The 20,720-nt window shown below is 43.1% G+C and overlaps 1 protein-coding gene and 1 long non-coding RNA gene across 13 annotated transcripts in view, besides 7 other annotated features; one reads left to right on the forward strand and one right to left on the reverse strand.

The window, feature by feature from the left end:
* Window positions 1-5,195: 5,195 nt before the first annotated feature.
* LRRC8D-DT (LRRC8D divergent transcript) lies at window positions 5,196-6,816 on the reverse strand. The gene has a single exon (NR_185885.1). It is a non-coding gene; the product is annotated as an LRRC8D divergent transcript (long non-coding RNA).
* Window positions 5,583-5,642: a silencer, noted in NCBI's record as "silent region_1056". NCBI's record gives its function as "represses an Ori minimal core promoter by ATAC-STARR-seq in GM12878 lymphoblastoid cells {active_cell/tissue: GM12878}" and the evidence as "EXISTENCE:reporter gene assay evidence [ECO:0000049][PMID:35858748]".
* LRRC8D (leucine rich repeat containing 8 VRAC subunit D) overlaps window positions 6,054-20,720 on the forward strand; it is a 115,580-nt gene continuing 100,913 nt past the window's right edge. For 4 of the 12 annotated variants that reach the window (XM_047423953.1, XM_047423956.1, XM_047423947.1 and 1 more), the window contains exon 1: window positions 6,054-6,749. The gene's annotated coding sequence lies outside the window, so the exon portion shown is untranslated. Of the gene's footprint in view, window positions 6,750-6,960; window positions 7,208-20,720 lie in introns of those variants that run through there. The other 8 variants (XM_047423944.1, XM_047423943.1, XM_011541689.2 and 5 more) reach the window with 2 other exon arrangements.
* Window positions 6,083-6,432: a silencer, noted in NCBI's record as "silent region_1057". NCBI's record gives its function as "represses an Ori minimal core promoter by ATAC-STARR-seq in GM12878 lymphoblastoid cells {active_cell/tissue: GM12878}" and the evidence as "EXISTENCE:reporter gene assay evidence [ECO:0000049][PMID:35858748]".
* Window positions 6,533-6,632: a silencer, noted in NCBI's record as "silent region_1058". NCBI's record gives its function as "represses an Ori minimal core promoter by ATAC-STARR-seq in GM12878 lymphoblastoid cells {active_cell/tissue: GM12878}" and the evidence as "EXISTENCE:reporter gene assay evidence [ECO:0000049][PMID:35858748]".
* Window positions 6,723-6,932: a silencer, noted in NCBI's record as "silent region_1059". NCBI's record gives its function as "represses an Ori minimal core promoter by ATAC-STARR-seq in GM12878 lymphoblastoid cells {active_cell/tissue: GM12878}" and the evidence as "EXISTENCE:reporter gene assay evidence [ECO:0000049][PMID:35858748]".
* Window positions 6,723-7,023: a biological region, named in NCBI's record as "ReSE screen-validated silencer GRCh37_chr1:90287341-90287560".
* Window positions 6,804-7,023: a silencer, noted in NCBI's record as "fragment chr1:90287341-90287560 (GRCh37/hg19 assembly coordinates)". NCBI's record gives its function as "represses an EF-1alpha promoter that drives an FKBP-Casp9 reporter gene in an ReSE screen in K562 erythroleukemia cells {active_cell/tissue: K562}" and the evidence as "EXISTENCE:reporter gene assay evidence [ECO:0000049][PMID:32094911]".
* Window positions 11,466-11,965: an enhancer, noted in NCBI's record as "H3K4me1 hESC enhancer chr1:90292003-90292502 (GRCh37/hg19 assembly coordinates)". NCBI's record gives its function as "activates a minimal SCP1, AML or CMV promoter by ChIP-STARR-seq in naive H9 embryonic stem cells {active_cell/tissue: H9 hESC(naive)}" and the evidence as "EXISTENCE:reporter gene assay evidence [ECO:0000049][PMID:30033119]".

Below are 20,720 nucleotides of genomic sequence, written 5' to 3' on the forward strand. Positions count from 1 at the left end.
TATTAGACGTGAAAGTAGGAAACCCAACTAGGCAGTCAGAAACACAAGCTGGAGCTCAGGAAAGAGGACTGAGTAAGAGACATAAATGCAAAGTTGTTGGCATAGAAGGGGAATTCAAAGCTATATAACTGGATGAACTGATTGAAGGGAGTGAGTTTGGTGTCCTGAAAGGCAAGAGAAGTCCACTTGAAGAGGCAGTAGTATTCAATGGTGTCCAGTACTGCTGAGAGGTCAAGTAAGGACCAAGAATTGTTGACTGTATTTAGCAGTGTGGAAGTCATTGTTTTCCTTGGCAAGATCAGTTTTACTGATGCTTTGGGAGTAAAACCCTGATTCAATTAAGTTTAAGATGGGGGTGGGGGATGAATTGGAGACAATGAGTAGAGACAATTATTTTGAGATCCATTCATAGTAGAAGCAGGCAGGAAGGTGGAGTATATGGGTACGAATTCATAGGCAGTTGAATTTGGTATATTTTCTTTTTTTACAGTTTATTGAAGGGAACACTTATTTCATGGTTACCTATTAAGATGCACCCACTCACTTAGATAGATAACCCTAATTTTACCACTCTCTCCGAATACATTTTTTATTTTTATTTAAATAGGGAAGGGGGTCTTGCTATGTTGACCAGTCTGATCTCAAACTCCTAGCCTCAAGCAATCCTCCCATCTCAGCCTCTCAAAGTGCTGGGATTACAGGAGTGAGCCACCACACCCAGCCCTATGAATCCATTTTAGAAGGCGTAGATCCACTTCTTTCTTCTTTTTGTGGTTAAGACATGTACCCTTAGTTTTTCTAGTTTCAATTTCGCCATATTATTTCTAACTATAGCAGTCTGGCAATTTCCCTTCCTCTTTGGACTTGATGTTGTGTCATACTCGCGGAGGGTTATCCCCCACATCCCGTCCAGCTCCATTTCCTCCACAGTGCTTCTCCCCTTTCAACCTGCTCATTGCTAGTCTAGTCATTTCAATTTCCTTAGCTGTGAGGAATGGAGACAGTTTGCCTCTTTAGCTACCTATAAGGCTAAGAGTTTAAGCCTGGGCAACATAGTGAGGTCCTGTCTCTACAAAATTTTTTGTTTTAAAATAGCTGGGCATGATGGTGCATGCTGTGGTCCTAGCTCTTGGGAGGCTGAGGTGGGAGGATTGCTTGAGCCAAGAGGTTTGGGCTACAGAGAGTGGTGATGGCGCCACTGCACTCCAGGCTGGGTGACAGGGCAAGAACCTGTCTCGGAAAACAAACAAACAACAAACAAACAAACAAAAAACAACCCGCAAGAGTTTAAATAAGTCTGAGAAGTGAAATGGGTTTAACCCATATAAAGAAAGTTTGAAATGGGTCTAACCCATATAAAGAATAGAAAGAACATTAAAGTAGTAGGTAGCGCAGGGGAGGAAAGAAAATGAGAAAACATTTGTTTTACCATTTACTTAGGCTGAACTCCTACCATGTAATTTTAAAGCATCATATGTATTGAGTTCCTGTCTTTTAAAAATAAAGTGCTCTAGATATTGCATATTATGTTAGTTATGTTATTAAGAGACACACTAGATTGAGAAATTTGATCACACTTATAATATGTGGTTGTACTTAGGTAACATTTACTGAGCGATGCCTATTAAGCAGTTGGCTAAGCCCTTTCCACATATTATGTCATTTAACTCTTTCCCTCATAATCAACTGAGGTATGTATTAGTATTCCCATTTCAGAGATGAGGAAACTGAGAGAGGTGAGAGAGAGGCTCAAATAATTTGAAACTCTTCAGCATTACTACCACTTTCAAGCAAATATACTGTACATTTATTTGTGTATGACTATGCAGGTATATCCATATTTAGCCCACCAGGGCTATTTTTCATTTTCCAACGAATTCATCATGACATTACTCATAAGCCACCTCAGTGCATTTGAGATCAATTTATAAAGTTTGATTGCTGCAAAATTTTTCAAAAACATGTTTACAGATTATTGAAACCCATATTGCCTACCATATGTTAGGCACTCTGCTAGGTGATAAAATGGAAGAATGCAAAATCACTCCTCCAAGGAGCTCAGATTCTTCTTTTGTAGGAAAGTCAATTATTCATTCCCTCATTCAAAAGTATTATTGAGTGTCTTGGAGCATGCTATAGTTTAGGTAAGAACAAATCAAGTTAGAATCATCATACTTGGTAAGAGGAGATGCACAAATAATGCCCTTTATCTTACATGGTCCTTTTAGGCAGTACTGTGATTAAGTGCTTGGACCTCTAGAGCCAGGCCACCTGACCTAAAAAGGTAGCTCTGTCAGTTAAAGGCTATGTGGTATTGAGCTAGTCACAGAGCCTCTTTAAAGCCTTCTGTTTCCCATCTATTAGATGAGGATAGTATCTCATAGGGCTGCTGTGAAGACTTAAGGTATGTGTAAAGTATTTGGAAGAGGACCTACGTAAGTATTAGTTGTTATTGTTGATACAGATTTACCATGTGCTGAAACAGTTGCCAATTCTCATAACAAGTAGCAAAGGATAGTAAGTGCTCTATTTTTTGTTGAATAGAACTTCCTAGAAGCCATGTGTTTCTCTGTAGATATGTCTAGAGTAGCCTCAGATTCCTTTTCCATCATATTTCTTAATTCTGAACCCAACATCAAATCAGTTATTGTCCTTTGCTGCCTCCGTTCTGTTTTTTTGTGGAAAAGGGGAAACTGATGGGCTGATTTTTTTGTTTCTGTTTTTACATCATAGATAATCAGAGTTATTTTTCATTACTTATCATTGGTAGACTTCTTACTAGTTTGATCCATGCTATAGTCTGAATATTGCGTCCCCCGCCCCTCCATTTTATATGTTGAAATCCTAACCCCTAAACTGATGGTATTAGGAGGTCATTCCTTTGGGAGGCGATTAGGTCATGATGGCAGAGCCTTCATGAATGGGATTAGTGGCCTTAAAAAGGAGGCCTGAGAGAGACCCTCACTCCTTCCACTATATGAAGACACAGCAAGAAGTCACCCTCTCTGAACTAGAAAGAAGACACACACACACACAGACGTGGAATCTGCTGTTGCCTTGAACTTCCTAGCCCCCAGACTATAGGAAATAAAAATTTTTTTTTTTTTTTTTTTGAGACAGAGCCTCACTCTGTCACCCAGGCTGGAGTGCACTGGCATGATCTTGGCTGATTGCAACCTCCACCTCCTGGGTTCAAGTGATTCTCCTGCCTCAGCCTCCCGAGTAGCTGGGATTACAGGTGCCTGCCACCACTCATAGCTAATTTTTTTATTTTTAGTAGAGACAGGGTTCCACCATGTTGGCCAGGCTGGTCTCGAACTCCTGACCTCAGGTGATCCTCCAGCCTAGGTCTCCCAAAGTGCTGGGATTACAGGCATAAGCCACCATGCCCAGCCAATTTCTGTTGCTTATAAGCCACCCAGCTTATGGTATTTTGTTATAATAGCCTGAATATACTCTAAAACAATCCTTTAAATTTTTAAAATTATTATTCTGATTATCAGAGTAATATGTGCTCAATATAAAAACAATTCAAACATACAGAACTTGATGAAAGGCCCTAGTAATCCCACACCCAGAGATAATCACCATTAACAGCTTGTTATATATGCTTCCAGACTTCTTCTGAAGCATACATTTAATAACATGTATATCTTAATGCAAAAAAGTACAAAAAAATGGAATCATACTATTCATATTGTTCTGCAGCCTCCTTTTTTTTCACTTATAGATTTTGGACATCCTTCCATGTAGGTACAAATAGATCTAGCTTATTTTTGTTAATGGCTGCTTATGGTTTCCTTCTACAGATCTAGCAAAATTTGCTTAAACAGTTTCCTACTGGGACTTTATTATTTGATTTTTACACCATTACATGTTCCCACTATTACAAACAATGTTGCAATAAGACACGTATATATATATTTTTGTACATGTGTAAATATTTCTGACATAATTTTTGCACAAATATGCTTAAAGCACAAACTCTTAGACATGGACTTACCTATTCAAAGGGAACACACCTATTTATCAAAAATTTCCAAATTGTCCTCCAAAGGGGTTTGTCCAATTTCCTCTTACTTTTACAGTGTGTGAGTGTCTATTTCTCCACATTTGACTGTTTTCTGAATATCACTTTTTTCTTTTCTCGATTTATACCAATCTTAAAATCATGTTTTTCAAGTCTAGAATCACAATTTAAAACCCAGGGAAGATCAAAAGAACAAAGTACAGAAGATTGGTTTTTTTGGTTTTTTGGTTTTGAGATGGAGTCTCACTCTGTCGCCCAGGCTGGAGTGTGGTGGCACCATCTCAGCTCACTGCAACCTCCGCCTCCCAGGTTCAAGCGATTCTCCTGCCTCAGGCTCCTGAGTAGCTTGGATTACAGGTGCGTGCCAACATGCCCAGATAATTTTTGTGTCTTTAGTAGAGACGGGTTTTCACCATGTTGGTCAGGCTGGTCTCTAACTCCTGACCTCGTGATCCTCTTGCCTCGGCCTCCCAAGGTACCGGGACTACAGGCGTGAGCCACTGCACCCGGCCTATAATTTTTTTTTTTTTTTACAAACAGCAAAACATTCCATATTCATTATAATAGTGGGCTGTTTTCAATAAAAATATCACACCACTAGTTGTTAAGTTTTAAAAGACCTCTCATCTCTTAGATCAGCAAATCTGACACTGATTAGATCACTTACACACACTCCCTGCCCATACACCTCCTTCTTGGCAGTGTGTGGAACAGGAGTGGCTGCTGGCAAGGAGGGTCGGGGAAGGAAAGTGAGAGCAAAAGGGCCGAGGGCTCAGAATCTGGTGGCATCTTGTAACGGGTCTCGGGCAGTCCCTTGAGTGTATTCTGGACCTCTCTGTTCATGTTCCTGTTTGGGCTGCTCTTCTTCACGTCCAATGCCTGAGGGCCAAGTGCTCACCATCCAAGGGTCAATTCTATCAGCTCCTCTCTGAATCCTTTTCTGAAACCCTGGACAATCATTCTCTTTAATGTCTCACTGTCTCTGAACCGACACCTTCCTGAGTACCTGTAACATTTGTGCAGCATGCTTATTAAGAATATTTAGATGCTGGGTAAACGTTGATTGAACATTTGCTGACATGGAGAGATATTGGTAGAAGACAGATTAGACTTCCGATGGTTTACAGAAACACATGGATTCAGATAAAAGAAGATATGAAAGCACTGGGTTGAACCACATATTTTATTACAACCAAATAACTCCAAATATCCCGCCTTAATTTATTTATTGGCCCCTGCCTCTGCTCACCCACAAAAAAGACTGCAAATGAACCCCGATCCTACAACAACAACAACAAAAAACGGTGACATTATCGGGCTGCAAAACCCTCTTAGCATAGAATAATCTTTTCATCTGCCTCTTTCAGATGTAACATATTTTTGACGAAAAGAATGGGATGAAAACGGCGGGCTCAGATAAAAACAAGAACCGACTTTCCAATACAGCTTCAATAACAGACGGAACACATGAAGCTGAGAAACTCTCCATGCCAAGTAGTAGTTGTGTGTGCCCCAAAGCTCAGATAAGTACTTCTCCTTAGAGTTGGAAGGCACTTAAGTGACTTTTTAACGTAATTCAACTCCCCACCCCCAGCGCCAAGTCTTAATATCAGAGTTTTAGTCGACGGGACAGCCTCCTTCGCCCAGGACGGGTGAAGGCTCCTGACCATGCCTCGCAGCTAACTGGCAGCTGCGCCTGCCCGGCACCGAGCCCTGCCCAGGTGGACGCTTGCGAGAGCATTACGGCGATGGTTATGTAGGCTGCCGTTCTTCCCCTCCCAAGCACCTGCTCCGCATCTAGCAGTCGCTCGCCGCCAGTCTCCAACCCCGGGTCCCCTCCCTCGCCACACAGACCCCGTCCGGTCAGGCGCTGCAGGGCCACCGGAGAAAGCGCTCGCAATCACATGGAGGCCCGGGCCCGCCCCATTGGCTGCGGCCGGGCCAGTCGCGGCACTCGCCGGCTGCGGTTGGTCCCAGAGCTGCAGCGCCTGCACGGGCCCGGAGTCCATGTTACGCTTTGTCTAATTCCCCTCGTTACAGAGTCATGTGCTGCTGCTCCCGTCGCCGCTGCTGCCGCTGCCGCTGCCGCCGCCCGTGGTGCCCCGGCTCCTCCGCCGCGCTTCGAGGTGGCAGCCGCGGGCGGGGCCGCGGGAGCAGGGTCCAGGGTGCAGCGCGCCTTCGCCGCCCCGGCGCGTCCCGGTGCAGCCGCCGCCCGCCGCGGGTGATGCCGCCACCTCCGGCCTCAGCATAAGCCGTGGCTTGGCGGCCGAGCTGCACCCCAAGGTTGGTGCGCACCTCTCCCGGCAGGGGCCGGGGGCTGCGAGGGAAGGCGACGCGCAGGTGGAGCCGCGCCGAGCCGGAGCGCGCAACCCTGGCGCAGGCGCCGCGGCCCGAGCTGCGGTTGCGGCCGGGAACTCATTCGGGGACGTCCGGGGGTCGGGAGGAGGTGGCGGCGAGCGGAGTGGGCTCCCGTTTGCTGCCGCCAGGGCCTGGGAGATTGTTCCGCTTTCTGCAGTCTGAGCGTCGGCCGCTTCGGCCCCGGGCGGCCGGCCCTGCGGGAGGGGAGTGCGGCTTCCTGGCTCCTGAACCCCTCGCGCGCGCTCCCTTCTCTCACCTCCCTCCGCCCTATCGGAAAGGCGGGGAGAGCCGGTTTCGGCTCTGCTGGTTCCTCCCGGAGGTGGGTGTTTGGTGTCTGGCCTTGCTGGCCCGGCGTCCAAAGGTGAGCCCTTTAACTTCTCCAGAATCGCCTCCCCTCCGCTTCCTTCCTGTGCAGGGTGGGCTGCGCTGGGAGCCCGGCGGGCGGGGGCGGGGAGGTGAAGGCCCGCGCCCCGCCCCCCGCGCCTGTGGGAGGGAGCTGGGGGCCCGCAGGTGCACCCAGCCGTCCGCGGGCCGTCTCCGGGTTGGGTACCGGTATAATCCGCTTCTAGCTTGTTTGGAGGCGTGGGCTCTTGGGAGCGGGACTTCTGCTCAAATCCTGTCCAGGGGCTTGAAAAGGAGGAGAATTGGGGGTGGTTGCCGGGAGGACCAGCACCTCCAGTTACTGGAGGGTTGATAGGGGCCTTCTCCTTTCCGTCACCCTTTACTAGGGGGTATCCCTTGCAGATAAATGAGATTTTTTGATTTCTTAAAAAGCCAGCTGCAGTGAAGAAGAACTGCTGCAGGTCGAGGGGAAGAGAGGTAGGTCCTTGCTGGAGAGGGAGAGGTGGGCTGTGAGGTTCCAGGAGCACGCACTTGGGGTGTGTGTGGCCGAAAGTATGGAGGTAGGGTTGTGGGAAGGAAACAGCCGAGATGAGAGGGAGGGCGCACTCAGGATGTAGGCGGAGAGATGGGGAATAGGTACTGGGGAGTCCTAGCGGAATGTGGGGCCCAGCTGGAGCCGCTTGGCTTATATTTGGCTCCTCGTTGCCTCGCAGATTTCCTGCTCTTGGATCTTCAAAAATATTTTTTTGTTGGACAAAGAAAACTCTGAGGACATATTTTGGAAGAGCTGATTTCTGGAAACTTTCCTTGGCAGCTTTGATAGTAAAATTCCGTACAGGCAGCGTTTATTGAGCACCTATTACGTGGTTTGTACCGGACTTTGGAAGAGTCTGGACAGGCAGGGAATCCCCGTTTGCAGTAATGATGAGGGCTGTCTACCTTATAAACAAATAAGGGGCCCCTCCCAGTGCCAAGAATGAGAGTGATCAGACCTTCCTCGCCATAGCATCTGGGACCTCTGCTTCTTACAGACCTGTGGGAAGAACCCTGCACCATATCCTGTAAATGGGGTCCTCAGGCAGCATTTATTTTTGCAGTCCAAAAATAGTGACCAAACACCTACTGTCAGCTAGGCGAGAGTTGGGGTTCTTGCTTCATCTGTCTTGACACCAACTAACTAAATCCCTGTTAAAATCCAAGTGCAAGATGGGGAGGAATCTGAGATGAAAATTAGGTGGTTAAAACAGGGGTCACGAAAAGTTGATTTGGGGTGTTTGGTCTCTGTAGGTTACTTATGGAGCCCCCCATAAAATGATTAGGTAATCTATGGAGCCAGGGAAAAATTCCAAAATCTTGAATTGGCACAGTTTATTTATATATTTGAACACTATGTTAGATTTGTCTCGTTTTTATTGAGAGTGTATGTGTGCGTGTTGATTAAAACCTAACAGATTAGAAGGTTGGAGAGGAAACTGTCCTTAGATGACCCAGCCTTCCATTACCATGTGGAGTAGCATATGATGCAACACTTAAAGTATTGAGCCATATTCATATCATTTTCTCCCTGCTGTGTTTTCCAGCATTTAAAAAACATGGTCAAAACTTGGCCCTTTTTTTCTCAAAATCGCTAAAGTTTAATGGAAAGAAAAAAGAAAAAAACTAGGCCCCTTTTCCCTTAATTTTTATATTATGCAGCATTTTTAAAAATTAATTTTAGAAAATTCTGATGTGTTTGTCATGTCCAAATAGTTAAATTGTTTTGGTAGCTATAGTTTGGAAATTAGACTCGATTCTGTTCTCAGTACTGTAGACAAAATAGCTATTAAAGTCAAAAGTTTGTCAAAACTTTGTAATCATGATTATTATGTTGTTGAAGTGGTAGCTTGTAAGAGATTTCAGTTATTTTTAATTGGAGCTGGTGTTTGACATTCTAAGAAACACCAGTTAATATTTGTTGAGTGCCAGCAGGAAGCAGAGAACTGGAGTGGGTGCTGTGGGATCTTAACAAGGCAGGAGAGGATTCTCGTAGTAATCACAGAGAGCAGATAAGACAGGCACACATGAGGATGCCAGCAGAAGCAGACAGTTACAGTTGTCTAAGAATCCAGGGTGTGTGGAACCAGATAAAAGTTTATGAAGTATGCTGAGGGAGGAGTGGAAATCTGAATTGACTTTTGACAGTGGTCAGGGATGTGGAACAGAATATACGACTAATAAAGGAGGGTAGAGGGAACCTAGTTCGTGAAAAACTTAACCACAAGTCAGTGGTGTTAATCATTTGCCTCAAGACCAGTGGCTCTCAGAAGTAGGCAATTTTGCTTCTCAGCAGACATTGAGGAATGTCGGAGACATTTATGGTTATCATAGCGAGGTGGCAGGTGCTGCTGTCATCTAGTGGCTAGAGGACAGGGATGATACATAAGCATCCTACTGTGCACAGGACATCAACCCCCTTCCTCCTAAACAAAGAATGATCCTGTCCAAAATGGCGATAGTGCCTGCCCTTAGATCTCAGAATAGGTCTTGAAGGGAGGTGGTTCTTGACATGGGAGGAGTAATAACATTGAGCTTAGGAAGCTGATGTAGGAGACTTGTGCTCAGGTCTGATGTGATTAGGGTCTGGGCAAATCCTTATTGAAAGAAAGGGGCAGTTTGGAGGGAGATCATAGCAGATGAGCACAGTATGATAGTGGAGTAAGTTGGGAATCATTGAAATCAGAATTGGCATTTTAGAGGGGCCCTATCCAATTTATTTATTTTAGTAAATTCTTACCCTTTCTAGGTAACTTTTGTTTAACCCCAGGAACCGTGAACTTCTCCTGAAGACAGGTTATTACACCTTTGGACTGTTTGTTGTATTTTTACTTGAGCTGAAGACTGTCTCCTTGAATTTTTTTTTCCAATGATTTTCTTCTTTTGGAGCTGCCTACTCTCTTTGAATGCACCAAGACAATATGATGTCCCCTTACCCCCAGTTGACTTTGCTAATGCAAACTAGTCCCAATTCTTTTCACAGTCTTTTATTGGGATGTGGTTTCTCGATGTCTTCTCAGTTTATCGGCATCTCACATGGAGAATCTGGAATTGAATATGTAATTGAGATGTGATCTGGCCAACAGAGAGTACAGTAAGACAGCTGTTTGCTGAGACCTAAGCATAAATGTCTACTTACTGCACCTTAAGCTTACAACTGCCTATGATTTTCTTAGGCAGTGCCGAGCACAAACTTCTTTATTAGATAATCATGTTTTGGATAGTCAAAACCCCCAGATATTTGCTCTGTGAGCTGCTGCATCCTGTATTTCTTGGGCAGATTTTTTTGGAGAAGTTTTTTTTGTTGTTGTTGTTCCTTCTCAATGTTATCCTATTTATTTTGATCCAGTCTTCTAGCCTTTGACATTTTTGAATTTATGTCTTCTAATTATATCAGAGAGGAATGGAGGATGACTTTGTTGAAAACTGTAGTCAGTACTATGTAAAACTCAGTAGTTTGGGGGCTCTATTGGTCCTATATGAGAGCTGAGATCACTGAGTGATGGAGGTGAGTTCTAGGGCTAATTAGCCCTTATTTTGGGGGCTTCTGAGAAATTTAAATGCCAGGCCACATGGCATTTAGCTCTTGAAATGTTTGCACCTGGGGTACCATTTTGAAATTGTTCAAGTCTGTTGCAAGCTTCTGAAATCTGAATTCCTTCCTCTGGGTCTTTGTAGTTCTGTTTATGTATCTGGAAGAGAGTTTCTAATGTTTTGTGCAAATCTGAAGCTTGCAGGGTTAGAGTTGCTTTTGAAATTTGTGAGAAGATAGGATAACTGGCAAAAATCAACTATGGACTTGTTTCCCACTCAGGCTAAGCTTTGTTTTCTTTTTTGCTAATATGCCTCAAATATTTAGTGACAGCCTTATATTTAGAGAAGGAGAGAGGATTGAGGTTTAGAAGCAAACCTTTTTCTCAGAGCTTGGCTTTAACTTGCCGTTGATGTAAGTTCATACTTAACTTGAATTTTACAGTCTTCACTACAAAGACATTAGGAAATTACCATTCCCAGATGTCTTCTGAAGCTGGCAGGTAAGAAATCCCAGGTACCTTAGTGCCAAGTTCTCCAAATACTCTAGATCTATCCAGTGAACTAGATTTAATAAATTACTTGATTTGGGTGGTAGCTGTCTCACAGTGTTGAAGGAGAGCTAGAGGAAAATTTCAAATCTCATGGCCAAATGTGTGTCACCTCTTTGTGATGAGTGTCCATTGTGCCCCAATCCTTTGTTAGTGTGTTGGCTGTCCAGATGGTGCAGTCTACTTGGTTTCCCTTCTTTACCAGTCCACGTGGGCAACCTCTTTATATCCTCTGGAGATGAAGGATATTCCAATGAAAAGAAGGGATGCCTTTTGAATATTTGAAATTTCTTGAGGGGAAAAGTGTTGCTGTCCTTTTATATTGTCAAAGGCTGTGTCGAAGTTGGAGTCTTAGAATTAAGGATGCAGTTGTGTCACTTTGAATAGAAAGAATATTATAGCTGGAAGGGATCAACCCTTAAATTTTATTTTATTTTATTTTATTTTATTTTATTTTTTTAGACGGAGTCTCGCTCTGTCGCCCAGGCTGGAGTGCAGTGGCGCGATCTCAGCTCACTGCAAGCTCCGCCTCCCGGGTTCACGCCATTCTCCTGCCTCAGCCTCCCGAGTAGCTGGGACTACAGGCACCCGCCACTGCACACAGCTAATTTTTTGTATTTTTAGTAGAGATGGGGTTTCACCATGGTCTCGATCTCCTGACCTCATGATCCGCCCGCCTCGGCCTCCCAAAGTGCTGGGATTACAGGCATGAGCCACCGCGCCTGGCTACCCTTAAATTTTATAGTTGAGCGTATCCAGGCACAGGGAGGTGATGTGCTTAGCGTAAGTTTACACATGTAGTGACAGAGTAGGCATTAGAATCTATCTGCCTTAAAGACCACAATAAAGGCTAAGGATCAGGATTTCTTCTCTGCTTAGAGGTGTGTAAACAGTGGGGTCCCTCGGGTCTTATTTACATAATTGATCTAAAAGAAGGAACACACAGTGGAATTTCTAGGTTTGCAGATGACAGCTTTTCTGGATTATGAAATGTCTAACCACTGGGTATTTGCTCCAGGGAAACCACACTAGGATGTATTAGTCATCAGACGATTTGCAGGTGAGTTTCTTGTGGGCAAATAGGTGGTTGGGTATTAAGGGGAAATTACAGAATTTTCATAGGATGGTGTTTTGTTGGATAAACTCAGGGAAGGGCTCTGAAAATACCTTCATGTTGTTGTCCTGACTTGCTGTTGCAGAAAAACAAAAACCATGAAATGCTAGGCTTCATCAAAAAGATTTTGGGGCTGGGCATGGTGGCTCAGGCCTGTAATCCCAGCAGTTTGGGAGGCTGAGGTGGGCAGATCACCTAAGGTCAGGAATTCGAGACCAGCCTGGCCAACCTGGTGAAACCCCGTCTCTACTAAAAATAAAAAAATTAGCCAGATGTGGTGGTGGTGCCTGTAATCCCAGCTACTCGGGAAGTTGAGGCAGGAGAATCACTTGAACTCAAGAGGCGGAGTTTGCAGTGAGCTGAGATCGCGCCATTGCACTCCAGCCTGGGCAACAGAGACTGTCTCAAAAAAAAAAAAAAAAAAGATTTTGGGGAAAAAAATACAAAATATAGTCTTAATTGAGTTTTCACTGTGTTTTTTCCCCCAAATTCGTGGGCACCTAACCTTCAGAAAGACACTAGAGCTGGAATGACCATTGTAATGATACCTACCTAGAATGTTTGGACATTGCTGCTAGAATGTAAGCTTCATGAGGACAGGGTCCTTGCTCATCTGTTTCTTTGATAAAAATATTAAGATTTCTAGCACCTGGAAAGAGTCATCTGAGAGGAGATGGCATGGAGGCCTATGAAACCACAAGGATAGGGCCATAGGCAGCCTTGATAGTTCACTTTATTCTAATAAGCCCAAGCGTGCTATTTTAATTGCCTCCTTGTCTTCCTGCTCCGGTACTCTGTCAGTGTGGTTAGGATAGGGATTTATCTCTCTTGTTCTCTACTGATTTTCTAGTGCCTTGCACGTGGCAGGCCCTCTATTAGTATTTGTCACCCAGAGGAATGAAAGAAGAGGTATACCTTAAAACTTTACAAGATATAAATTCAGGATGAATGCCAAGAAATATGGTTTTTCTCAACCCTGGCTGGCATCAGAATCAGTCTGGGGAATATTTTTTAAATACATATATTCAGACCCTTCCCCATGCCTATTGAATCAGAATCTCTGGATATGGAGTTTAGTTTTGAAAACAGCCCTCCCTGCCTCCAGGTAATTCTAATGTGCAGCTCAGCTCAGAACCACCATCTTAGTAGTTGTGCACGAAGGCTGGGTACTGACTGAAGACACCTTCAAATGGGTTTGAAACATTTGTGGCCAGCAAGCCCATCATTGGTTATTAAGACAAAAGAGAAGCTTTAAGGATATGTCAGTCTTCTTGGAAGGTATAGTGACCCAAACAGCACATGGTCCACCATGGCCCTTGGTGCCTCCATGAGATAGTGCATCCTGGGCTGGATGGATGATGGGACCAACTCCCAGTCCATCCTTGAGCAGTCATTTCCAGAGTGGGTCCCTGATGACAGTTTCACCAGCCCATGAAAAAATGAGAAGAGTGAAGACAATGCAACAAGCTTTTCTGTTTCAACTTTAGTGCTAAGTTTATTCAATTATAAGAGTCTGGTTTTTTGTTTTGTTTTTGTTTTGTTTAATCTTGGGTTGTCCTTCCTACTGGAAGGTTGGCTTGTTTTTTCATTTTATGAAAGGATGATGATGGTTTTTTGGTGTCATTTCTAGGTCCAGTTTTAAGCTGGCAATTTTGTGATAGTCTTTCTTTTGACATTTTACTGGCCTGTGAAATCAAAAGTCTGGGAACTACCACTCCTCTGAGGTTTTCAAGATGTCTGTGTCTACCCCTTGACACCTCCTTTTGGGGAACGCTCATAAATATGGTGTTAGGTTCCATTACAAGCATTTTTTTTTTCTTAAAACATTTTTTTCTTTCCTCTTATGCTTGCTGGTAATAGTTAGGAACATTGCCAGAGAAAGCTTCACTTCCCCAACAATGCATAAATCCCATTGCTACATCTTAGCATCGACAGATAGCCAGCACTGCAACGAGTTCTGCAGAACAAGGAGAAGAAAGGATGTACAAGAAGACACCTTTTTCTCTGATGGTCATTGGCCGCCAGAAAGCTGTGTCTCAAAATCTCTCATGCTATAGAGATAGGACAGAACTCTTCAGATTGGGTATTAGATGCCGTCAGTCAAAATTCTCTTCACTGATTGCTTACAACCCAATTTTAAGAAATACTAGAAAATTAAAATGCTTGGAAAAATGGTCCCCATGGTGCTTGCAATGGCACTCTACTGAGTAGGCTTTTAAAATCAGAGTATTCTCAGATATGGCTGCTTTTTTGTTTTCGTATTTAACTTAGCTGGTTAAGAAGTACTTGGACAATGTATGGAACACCTAAAGTTATTAATAATAACAGCTATTAGGCACTTAATGATTGTCCAAACCTATGCCCTGGAATTTACATGCATTCTCATATAATCCTCAAAACAATTCTGAGTGAAAGATAGACTTATTCCCACTCTACGGATGAGGTCATAAGGCTGGAAAGGTTATGTCATTTGCAACAACGTCACATAGAAGTGGCGGAGGTGGAATTTGAAACCAGACTCATTTTATACCAGACTTTTTTATTTTAAACCAGACTTTTTAATATTTTATAATATATACCTATTCTCTTATCTACTGTACCCTTTCTCATTTCTGCACATTTCTTTGTATTTATTTTATAATACCTAGTAGTATTTCTGTTACATGAAAAAGAGAATCAGGTTTTGAGGTGTAAAGGTACCTGATAACTCCTCTGGTTCGTGCTGCGTGTTTGAAGAGTAGAGCCATAGCGGCATCCCGGCATTTAGGCTTCCAGGCCAATGCTCTTGTCACCCCAAGTTGGTCTTAGAAGTATGAGCCTGTTGGTAAAACTACTTGAATGAAAATTTATCCTGGAATTGAGAGGGTAACTTTAAATCACTTAATTATTCTGGTGTTTTCTCTAGCCCTGTTCTCTTTTGTCACCCATATTGATGATAGAATGCCACTTGTAAAGTACATCTTAAGCACCCTCCTCCTAGTTAGATCTCAGCCAGAATAACTACTGTACATAAACAAATCATGTAAAGATATACCTAATATTTGCTAAGGTGTTATGTCTTAGCTGAAAAAACTGCTGTAACAAATGTTTGCTGAATAAATGCCATAAATATATTCAATATAAAAAAACTATATCTTCAAAGTAAATGAATGAATAAATAAATATCCATGTATCTACATCATATTCATAGGCTGTTTCATTCGTGCCTTTATTTTTTAAATACAAGAAAATTATACTTCATTATACTCAAGTATAATCTCTTTGCTGGAGTGAATTTATTCTGTTCAAGTTTTACTTTAACTATTGAATTATTTATCTTAACATTTAGCCAGTAATAAAGTACAAATTGGGAACTGGGCTGCAGTTTTATACATCTTGCACAAAACACACCCTTCCTACAAACACACACACTCAGAGACAGAGAGAGATGCACTTGTTCTTTAACTTAGCTCTCTTAAGATATTTTTCAATTCCAAAATAGTTTCTCTTTCACCTGTTCTAAATTCTTTTCCTTATAACTTATTTATACCTGCTAAGTTCTGTACCAAGCAGAAATTAGATCTGTAATTTCTGTGCTAATCAGAGTTGGATACTAGCAGTAGCCTGGGGGTCTTGAGCAAATAGTGTGCCTCAGAGATGATTTGTGGCAGCAGGCACTCGCCCTCAGGGTGGGGTCATCAGGAGTGGGAGGCCCATCAGAAGTGGGCCTGTTGAGCAGTGCATTGTTGCCGCGTGGGAATGTGGGCCGGTGTTGCCAGGTCTTCTGATTTTTCACTGTAAGCCAGAAATCTGGATTATTGTGTAAAATCTGATTTTAAAGGTTGGCTAATTCAACATTTTAGAACTTCCTGTAAACCAAACAAAATAGCTTTGTGGGCTGGAAACCGCCTCTTTAGGCCCTTAGAGATAGCCCTTTAGTGGCCAGATAAATGGAAGCATAGGGTTTGAATAAAAAGCACAATACACTTTTTTTTTTTTTTTTTTTTGAGATGGAGTCTCACTCTGTGGCCCAGGCTGGAGTGCAGTGCTGTGATCTTGGCTCACTGCAACCTCCGCCTCCCGGGTTCAAGCGATTCTCCTACCTCAGCCTCCTGAGTAGCTGGGATTACAGGTACGCACCACCACACCCAGCTAATCTTTGTATTTTTAGGAGAGAGGGGGTTTCGCCATGTTGGCCAGGCTGGTCTCGAACTCCTAACCTCATGTAATCTGCCTGCCTCAGCCTCCCAAAGTGCTGGGATTACAGGCATGAGCCACCACGCCTGGCCCACAATACACTTTTAAACATTAATTTAAATTGACATGAATTGAAACTTGATTTCATCCTTTTCTTTCCCAACCCCAGACACAAAGCAGAGCAAAGCAACCCGCAAGCCCCGTACTTTAATGATAACAATTTCTGACCTTTAAATGTGGTGTATTACATCTGGAGTGGTTGCATTTGAACAGGTTGTCTGGCCTGAGGAGGAATAGGTTTAGGGAGAAATAGGTAGAGTATGAATATAAAAGGGGAGAGGACCGGTGGGACACACACAGAGAGAGAAGGAAGGGTAAGAGCCACTTGGAGTTGAGTAAAGAGATCATCTACCCCAGGAGATACGGGAAGATTTGTTCATATCTTAAAATTGATTTGGGGTAAATGGGGAAGAAAGAGAAAGAAAGAAAAAATGTCAATGTTTAGAAATAGTGCAGAATCTATGTTGGCAGGGGGCAAAGAGTGCTATTATTTTGCAATTCCTAGTGTATCATGTTAATGTGTACGGTGGCTTCTACAAAAGGGGAATTGGAATGAAAAGGAAGGAAAAGAGTTTATGTCAGAAAGAAGACTAGGGAGTGAGATAAAGAAGAGGGGTCCAGAGAACAGCTGATAGCAAAAAGTAAACCAAGAATGCTGGAAAATGTTTGCATAGGGGAAAGCTGGCTATGTTAGAGTACAAAGCATCATTTTTTTCCCCCATCCAAACTATGACATTGAGCGGGTATACACAGCAGTCCCTAGGAAAAAGACGGTTTGGAACACCAGCTTGTTTTGCTTTTGAAGGGCCAGCCTCCAGGGTCCCTTTGTGTGAAGCAGTGTCAGCAGGGCTGCGTCTGCGCTGTCAGGGCACACTGCCGGGAGGATATTGTCTACTGGGTTTTAGCCCCTCTCCACCATCTGGGTATCTTGGTGCAGGACAGGACCTCAGACCTTTACTGTGACCCCAATAGTGCTCCTGTCTTTAGTTTTATTTGCTTTTCTGGGGAAAATCTAACATCGTTTGTGTAATTTGTTGTACATACACCCTCTTTGAAAGAGAAGAGAGTAATAATTTGAACAGATTTCTGCTACTAGCAGAATCCTAGTCTGAGAGGATTTTTAAAAGCATTTTGCTCTTAATCATCCCAAGTATATAGTACCTTGTTCCTGGAATTTCAGCATTTTCTGTGGGGAGGGGAACAACGTCTTTTCATCATCTGCAGGTTTTATTCCAGTCCTGGGGCTATCATCCCTGTGTGATCTGAACTATGTCTTTCTAGACTGGAATAACTTTAAATTTCTAATACTTTGGTTGCTTTTTAGAATAAATTCATTTTAAAATGTCCCCTTCTATTTGTTACTTTAGTGCAGTAAGGATCTTTATGGATTTCTTTTCCCCCTTATGGAAACCATTTGTAGTATTGAGAGAATGGGTTCAGGTTTTCTTGCACTGTTGGGAAGAAGAAAAATTCTTCAAATTCCACTGCTCGGCCTTCTAGGGACTCTACTCTACAGATGGAAGTCCTGGAAGATCCTATCAGGAAGTGAAACTTGTAAATAATGTTTGTGCTCGTTTGGGGCATTATGCGTTAACAAGTTGTACAAGAAGTCTTCTTTAACCTTCTTATAAAATACACTTAAAAAAGAATCCAGTCCTAGTGACGAATCTGGAAATAAGACTAGGAAACACTTCACCATGTGCCAGGCACTGTTTGCAGCACTTTACATATATTAGCTCATTTACTTCTGACAACAGCCCCATTTTGTAGCAGAGGAAACCAAGGCTGGCTTCTCTAGTCTGGCTGCTCCTCCCAATCACCATGAGCAGCCAAGGTCATTACAGGAAGTGGCAGAACTGTGATTTGAACCCAAGCTGCCATGGCTTCAGGATCTGTGCTTTTTAGGACTCCTTCATTGCCCCTTGAACTCTCTCACAACAACGACGAACATAAATTTGCTTTAGAAACTTCTTTTGCCTTCCACATTACCTCAGTCTTAAAGTCAGCATCAGAGTTTGGTTGAAAAAAGAAATAAAATTATATTCCTTCCCTGATACTGCCTCCCCAAACCAAATGAACAAATGAAATCATGGAGACAGTTTCCATCTAGGAACAGAAACCTGACTAAAGGATCTTCCTGGAACACCGTACTAAAACGCTGGACTGATCATTACAAAGGCTGTAGTTGGAGCCTTGTTGCTGTGACAACCCGCATCCTTGGCACCAGACTTGTTTTTAACAGCACAAAACCCATCTTGTTTTACCTTTACCTTTACAACTGGTAGATTTGGTGAGCTTCTGAGAGCACTTTTTAAATTGCTTTTTGCAACCTATTTGGAGGCAGTGGGAAGGACCTAGGATTTGGAGCTTAAAAGACTTGAGTTCTAATCCCAGCACTCTCTTTTGTGGACTCGTGTGACCTTGGGTTTCATCTCCTGTAAATGGGGGAGGGGACAGTAACGGCACTAGGATTGGTTTGGTGAGGATAAGAAGCTATTATATATGACAGTATTTTATTCACAATAGCCATGTGTGTCAGGCAGTGAGCTGACCAGCAAGTCCTTTGTGAGTCTTGGAATGCATTTTCCATGGGTGGGTGGTGAGGTAGGTGGTTGGGGAAGGTTTGTGTTGATCTGAACCCCTTTTCTTTCCTGTTCTCTCCTTACCTGTATTCCAGTGTGAATGATAGTGTGGGTGTCAACTCAGTTTTTGGCCCAAATTCCTTTTCCTTGGTTTTCCCCCCTCCTACTTTGGGCTCTCTTCCAGTTTGCCTACAAAGTGCTATTTGTTGCAAGGGTGAAGCAGGCAATTCTCTGGGCAGCGACACTGTGGCTGCAGGCAGTTGCTGTAGTTCAAAGCAAACAGCCAAGCTAGAGTAGGAGGGACACTGACGGGGTTTGTTCATTAGAATTTTGAACATTAATTTTTGAAGGAAAGAAAGGGGAGTACAAATAGAATAGGAATAGAAATATTGTGAAATTTTCTTTATAACAGAACAAAATTGGGTCAGGAGAAAGGACTTTAAGAAATCACTTAACATTTATCATTACTTTGAAAGCAAATGCCTTTTTTGAGTAAAAGCAAATGCTTTTTGAGCATTTACTTTGTCTGCAGTGCACTCTAGTGGGGTGGGAAACGAAAGTTAGCACTAAATATTAACAACGGCTATCATGTTAGTGCATTTCAGGTGGTCCACAGTGGGCCACTTTTCTGTTCTATTCTTATATCAGCCATGAAGGTTGGTGTCATTGGTGTTCCATTTCAAAGATTACAAAACTGAGGCTCAGTGTGTTTAAATAACCCACTCAAGGATACAGTGCTAATAACTAGCAGGGAGAGCTAAACTTCGACCTAGGTCTCTTTCTCATCCACAATATGAAAGATGAGTAAGATATGCCCCTGCTTTGAAGATAAGACCTGCATGTAAACAGTTTAGTATAATTCAGCACAGTTTGCAGTATATGTTGTAATTCTTGTGAGAGCTACATTTTTTGGACATTTGCTCAGAAGGAGAGACTGATTTTGACTGGAAAGATCAGGGGAGGTCTCACAAGGAAAAATACCTTGAATAGGGCCTTGAAGGATGACAAAGATGGTGACAGGTAGAGAATTGATGGGAGAGCTGAGGGAACGTTGGAGCAGCAAAGCATGGAGTTGTAGAAGTACAGAATGTGTTTGGGAAATGCTGCTGGGATGGAGTGAGGGATGGAGGAGGAAAGGAAGCCAGAGAAGTAGTTTGGGACAGATTACAGAGGGCCTAGAGTGTCCTGCTGAGGAATTTAGACTTCACTTGGTTGCCTTTGAATAAAGGTTATTCCATTGAAGGTTCTTGAGAAGGGAAATAATTTTGCCTTGATCTCTGCCTTCAGCAATTCTGGTGGTAGCATGGGCTTTCGCCAGCACTAGGCTGCATCTAAGGATCACTTGGGAGTTTCCTAAATGTGCAGATTCCAGGAGCACCCCTCCACCCCCATGATTTCAGTGGTTCACATCTTGGGTAGGGCCTGGGAAAGTGTGTTTTGAAGGCTCTGCAGGTGGTTCTGAGGGCAGCCTGGTGAGGGAAGGGTTCTAGAGGGCATTGGGGCATTCTAGAGAAAGGTCTGAGCTGAAGCTAATTTTGAGTTTGTCCCTGTATGGATGATTTTTTAAACCATGGGAGGGGGCCAGTCATCAAACTTTGTGGAAGTTCTGTCTGTGTAGGTTCTATGGTTTGCTTTTTGTCCTCTGTAAGTATTAAACAGTAATCTCTCAGAGCATTGTCATTTGGCTGAAGTTTTTCACATGTATTTCCTGTTCAAATCTAGAATGTGGGATGGCTCTAATCCTTATGCCCCTGTGCTAGATTTCTCCTTTTTTGTTGCTGTTTCTTTTAGAAGGCAGAGGAATATATGGGATTTTATTGTGGGCTGTACCTGTCTTCAATGACAATCTCTTGGAGAGCATGAGCTCTGTAGTTTACTGCCTGGGTTTTTACTCTGCCTTTCTAGCCATGGGAACATGGGAAAGTTACTTAACTTACTATAAA

This window comes from Homo sapiens, chromosome 1 (assembly GCF_000001405.40).
Source record: "Homo sapiens chromosome 1, GRCh38.p14 Primary Assembly".
Lineage (NCBI taxonomy): Eukaryota > Metazoa > Chordata > Mammalia > Primates > Hominidae > Homo > Homo sapiens.